General features: G+C 45.3%; 1 annotated feature.

Annotated features, from left to right (window-relative positions):
- Positions 2296–2811: an enhancer, noted in NCBI's record as "OCT4-NANOG hESC enhancer chr20:4244845-4245360 (GRCh37/hg19 assembly coordinates)". NCBI's record gives its function as "activates a minimal SCP1, AML or CMV promoter by ChIP-STARR-seq in naive H9 embryonic stem cells {active_cell/tissue: H9 hESC(naive)}" and the evidence as "EXISTENCE:reporter gene assay evidence [ECO:0000049][PMID:30033119]".

Raw genomic sequence — 6000 nt, 5'->3', positions numbered from 1 at the left:
AGTTTGAGACAAGCCTGGGCAACATAGGGAGAACTCATCTCTACCAAAAAAAAAAAAAAAAAAAAAAAAAAAATTAGCCAATTGTGGTCACGCACACCTGAGGTTCCAGCTACTCAGGAGACTGAGGAAGAAGGATCACTTAAGCCTAGGGGGTCGAGGCTGCAGTGAGCTGCGATCACTCACTGGCCTGGGCAACAGAGTAAGACCCTGTCTCAAAAAAAAAAAAAAAAAAAATGCTTCCATACCTCCACCTGGCTGTCTCACAGCATCTCAAATTTAATTTGTCCCAACATTAACTCTCAATGTTCACTAAAAATGTCCTTCTTCCCCCTCTCCATTCTTCCCCACGTCAGCAAATAGTACCTCCCACCATTCAGCCAGTTATGTAAGTCAGAAATCTGGGAGTCGTCCCTGACACCTTCCATTCCCTCAGTCCCCCTCCACATCCAGTTCACCAGGAGTCGGTTCACCTCCAAAATACATCTCAACTCTGACTCCTCTCCCTCTTAGAGCCACCATCAGCTCCTGCCTCATGGTGTACAAAGTTCCGAATGAATTTCTGTAGCTTCCCATCATATCTGAAATAAAGCCCACGCAATTCATTACCACCCACAAAACCCACCATAGCTCGGCCCCCACACTCGTTCGCCCACAGCCTTGGCTTCTTCTCCTGGCTCCTTGTCACTCATATCACAGCTCAGATGTCACCCCTCCAAAGAGAGGTCCTCTCATTAGGAATCTCAAGACACTGCCTCTATGTTGTGTTAGCCTGTTTGGCTGTCTGCATAACACTAATCACCAGCTGCATCCAACTTGTTTCTTTCCTTGTACCTCCCCAAGAATGCAAGAACCTGCTTGGCTGTGTTCACCACATCCCACAGCTGAGAATAGTGTGTGACACAGAGTAGGTGCTTCACAGGTATTTGTTTAATCAATAAATGACTAATGAACGAGTTCCCACTCCTATTCTTGCCATTCATAGCCTGGCACCCAAAAGACTGGGTGAAAAATAGTCACCACGGTGAATCATTGCTCCTCTTAGGTTACTTTTCCCTATTTTGTGAAATGTTTATAATGCACATGGTCATTTTTATGAAAACAACAATCATGACTTTGTTTTATAGATGAGACTATTCATTTATTTATTTATTTTAAGACAGGGTCTCACTCTGTTGCCCAGTCTGGAATACAGTGGTGCAATCATGGCTCATGGCAGCCCCAACCTCTGGGCTCAAGAGATCCTCCCTCATGAGGCTGAGGCAGGAGAATTGCTTGAACCCAGGAGGCAGAGGTTGCAGTGAGCCAAGATTTTGCCACTGCACTCCAGCCTGGGTAACAGAGCAAGACTACGTGTCAAAAAAATTAAAAATTAAAAAAAACAAGAGATCCTCCCTCCTCAGCCTCCCAAAAAGCAGGAACTACAGGTGTGCACCACCAAGCCCACACCACCAGAGTGCAGCCAATGTTTGTATTTTTGTAGAGATGGGGTTTCACCATGTTGCCCAGGCTGGTCTTGAACTCCTGGCCTTAAATGATCCACCTGCCTGAATCTCCCAAAGTGCTGGGACTACAGGCATGAGCCACTGTGCCCAGCCATAAAATGAAACTATTATAAAGCCTAAATCCAATCATATTGTAACACTCCTACCTAAACTCCCTCTGTGGCCTCCTCTTATATTTGCATCTTTCTGCATCTCCAAGTGACCTCCAGCTTCCTCTCCAGCTGCACCTCATGCCCTCAATCTCATCCTCTGTGCTCTACACTCACCAGCCTTCATTTGGTGCCAGGAATGCCAAGACTTTTCTGTTGCAGGAAGTCAGGGACCCCAAACAGAGGGACCGGCTGAAGCCATGGCAGAAGAACGTGGATTGTGAAGATTTCATGGACATGTATTAGTTCCCCAAATTAATACTTTTGTGATTTCTTATGCCTGTCTTTACTGCAATCTCTAAACATAAATTGTAAAGATTTCATGGACACTTATCACTTCCCCAATCAATACCCTTGTGATTTCCTATGCCTGTCTTTATTTTAATCTCTTAATCCTGTCAGCTGAGGAGGATGTATGTCGCCTCAGGACCCTGTAATAATTGCATTAACTGCACAAATTGTACAGCATGTTTGTTTGAGCAATATGAAATGTGGGCACCTTGAAAAAAGAACAGGATAACAGCAATTGTTCAGGGAATAAGAGAGATAACCTTAAACTCTGACCGCCAGTGAGCTGGGTGGGATAGAGTCATATTTCTCTTCTTTCAAAAGCAAATGGGAGAAATATCACTGAATTCTTTTCCTCAGCATGGAACATCCCTGAGAAAGAGAATGCACACCTGGGGGTGGGTCTCTGAACTGGCACCCCTGGGCGTGGTCATCTCTTATGGTCGAGACTGCAGAGGTGAAATAGACTCCAGTCTCCCATAGCGCTCCCCGGCTTATTAGGAAGAGGAAATTCCTGCCTAATAAATTTTGGTCAGACCGGTTGATCTCAAAACCCTGTCTCCTGATAAGATGTTATCAATGACAATGGTGCCTGAAACTTCATTAGCAATTTTAATTTCGCCTCGGTCCTGTGGTCCTGTGATCTCCCCCTGCCTCCACTTGCCTTGTGATATTCTATTACCTTGTAAAGTACTTGATGTCTGTGACCCACACCTATTCGCACACTCCCTCCCCTTTTGAAACTCCCTAATAAAAACTTGCTGGTTTTTGCGGCTTGTGAGGCATCACGGAACCTACTGACATGTGATGTCTCCCCCGGATGCCCAGCTTTAAAATTTCTCTCTTTTGTACTCTGTCCCTTTATTTCTCAAGCTGGCCGATGCTTAAGGAAAATAGAAAAGAACCTACATGAATATCAGGGCAGGTCCCCCAATACTTTTCCACATGTTTTTCTTCTGCTTGAGGCGCATTCATCTGCTCTTCATGAACCTGGCATTTCCTCAAAATCCAATCTCACTTGATGTCCCACCCTCAGAGAGGCCTGCCCTCTCCCCTCCACCTAAGTAACCTATCCCCTCCATTATCCTGCCATGGTACCCTGTAAGTGTTCCTCATTGCACTTTTGTTCTTATCATCTGTTTCCTATAATAGACTATGAGATCCATGAAAGTCAAGGCTTTGTCCTACTCAATATTTTATCCCCAGTAACCAGCAAAGTGCTTGATACATAGTTTACACCTGTAATAAATATGTGTGACATGAACAAATGAGAAAGCAATGTTGGCCAGGTGTGGTGGCTCACACCTGTAATCCCATACTTTGGGAGGCCAAGGTGGGTAGATCACTTGAGGTCAGGAGTTCGAGACCAGCCTGGCCAACATGGCAAAACCCAGTCTCTACTAAAAATACAAAAATAAATAAATAAATAAATAAATAAATAATAAATAGCCAGCATGGTGGCACATGCCTGTAATCTCAGCTACTCAGGAGGCTGAGGCACAAAAACAAAAACCAAAAAGAAAGCAATGTTCAGCCTGAAAGAGTAGAGCAATAATGTAGCCTTTTAGGCACTGTGATAAGACAGTAAGTGAGGTTACCCCTCAATTCAATCACCCTAGATAGGCAATGACTGAAAATTATGAATGATAGTTACTCCTACAGCCAACGTTTCATGGAGAAGGAAATGCATTAAACAGCACAATGAAAGGAACAAAGCCCCCTTTCATTCCCACCATCTCCTCACACCCCTATCAACCTGAGAGATCTGCAGGTTGCAGCATCTCAATTCTTAACACAATGGCACGGGGGCAGTTCCGGCTTGTCAGAGGAGGGGAGTCTAAGAGCACCTTCCTGTGCAGGTGGGTTTATGCTTTCATCACACAGCAGGGAGAGAGTGCAAGCTGCAATTTCACCCTTGTCCCCTATTATCAAAGCCATGCCACTTCCTCCCCAACCTTAGACTATGCCTAAAAGAACTCCCCCAAGGGACCAGGTGCAGCTGGAGGAAGTTTCTTCATGCCAAAGGAAATGTTTGGAAAGTAGGAAGAGCATGACCTTAAATCAGAGCTGGTCAAAGACAGGGCTAACTGGGCCAGGGTCACTGAGTCAGTCCTACATTGGTGACCTACCCTCTGAAAGAAGCTTCTGGCCAACCCCTTTGCCCTACTCTGACCACTCACCTATACACAGCCCAACTCCTCACCTGAATACAGCCCAGCCCTCCCTCTACCTGCACCCTGACCCTCAGCCTGGCCTCATGCAGATGCCTGATCCCAGAAACAGACAATCTTGATTTTGAATGTACATCTCATTTTCTTACCCAGATTGGGAACTTTTTGGAACAATGCAACAATACCTCCTCAAGGACTTAACATACAAATCCACAATGGCCAGACTGTATACAACAATAGAGTCTGCAGCAACCAGCCCAGGAAGCCAAACCCCAGCAGTAATCAACCCGGAATCCTAGGCAGGAATTGGTCAATGACTTTCTTTTTCTTTTTCTTTTTTTTTTTTCTTGAGACAGGGTTTCCCTCTGTCACTCAGGCTGGACTGTAGTGGCACAATCTCAGCTCACTGCAACCTCTGCCTCCCAGGCTCAAGCAATCCTCCCACTTCAGCCTCCTAAGTAGCTGGAACTAGAGGCATGCACCACCACGCCCAGCTAATTTTTGTATTTTTCATAGAGATGGGGTTTCGCCACATTGCCCGGGCTGGTCTCGAAGCAATCCACTGGCCTCAGGCTCCCAGAGTGCTGGGATTACAGGCATGAGCCACTGCACCTGGCCAGGAATTGGTCAATGACTTCCAGCTTCCCTATTTTTCGCCCCTGCTTCCAACTCAAGACCAATCAGAAAAAGTCAAATATGCTCCCCAGTCAACCACATAAGATGCCCTTCTTCCAGTTCGCCCACCTCTGTTGTCCCCATGCCAACAACCTCCAATCACAGCATACCTGAAGCCTTCCCTTTTTTATTCCACTGTGAAGTTTCCCAGTCTCTGCCTGTTTTTGAGTCCCTTCCAAATGCAAATGATGGCTGATTCCTTTGCAAGTTCTGAGTAAATAGCTTCTGTCTGTTCTCATGTGGGTGGTCTTCATTTATTTCCACAGATTTCCTGGCGGTCCTGCTGAGATACAGTCTGCACTGCCCATCACCACGGACCTCAGCCTCTGTCCATGTGCGTGCGGTACTTGTAGAGGTTTCTTGTGCCTTGCCACCTGTGGCTTGTCAAATCCACACCAGTGTGGGAACTCAGCACTAGGTCTGAACTCCACTGTCTTTGCGGTGAGTTCTCAGCTATTTATTATTAGTTTTGCCCCTGATTTTTATTATTCTTCCCATTTGTTTGCGTCTTTGGTACAATCAGACCATTCTTTTTCTTTTCTTTTGTTCTTCCATTTTCTGCTGTGCTGTCAAAATTATTGTTTGTCACAGAACAAGAATCACAGGGTAGAACACAGGCATATATCCCACAGGACTGTTGATCAAGTCAACCTCCTAGACTGGTGAGTTTGTGGTTCTTTCAGACAAACTTTGCTGTGAGTCACCAATAAACTTGGGTAAGGTTTGTCTGCCATCTTTTGTCCAGAGAGAATGTTCTCTCTGGTTTTCTGCAAGAAGTGCAAACTGTCCGGTCTCCCTTTGGAGACCATTAACCATCAGGCTGGGGACCCAGGACACAGGGTACCCAAGGGCTCTCATGGGGTCATCTGAATAAAAATCCTCTCCTCTTCCAGGAAAAAGTCCTGATTCTTACACAGACCTTCATTAGAATTCTAATTATTGTGCCTCATCTCTCTGTAAATAGCCTAACTCCATCAAGAATCATTTGGATCTCCAGTGGCCACTGTGGAGAATGTGTGACTTGAACAAAATTGTTCATTTGAGAGGCACCTTAAAAAACACAGAGAATAAGATACTTTGATCAGCATGCAGAGGCCTGCAGATACAATTCTGATTTTAAAATTGCTTCACTGAAAGGTTCTCTGACCAAAGGTAATGAGCAAGTTGAAAAACTCAACAGCAGACTAGACACATTTTCCTAGTCAATCTCCAGCT

This window comes from Homo sapiens, chromosome 20 (assembly GCF_000001405.40).
Source record: "Homo sapiens chromosome 20, GRCh38.p14 Primary Assembly".
Taxonomy (NCBI): Eukaryota; Metazoa; Chordata; class Mammalia; order Primates; family Hominidae; genus Homo; species Homo sapiens.
The sequence above is the reverse complement of the archived record's forward strand: the minus strand, read 5'-3'. Positions and strand labels throughout refer to the sequence as shown.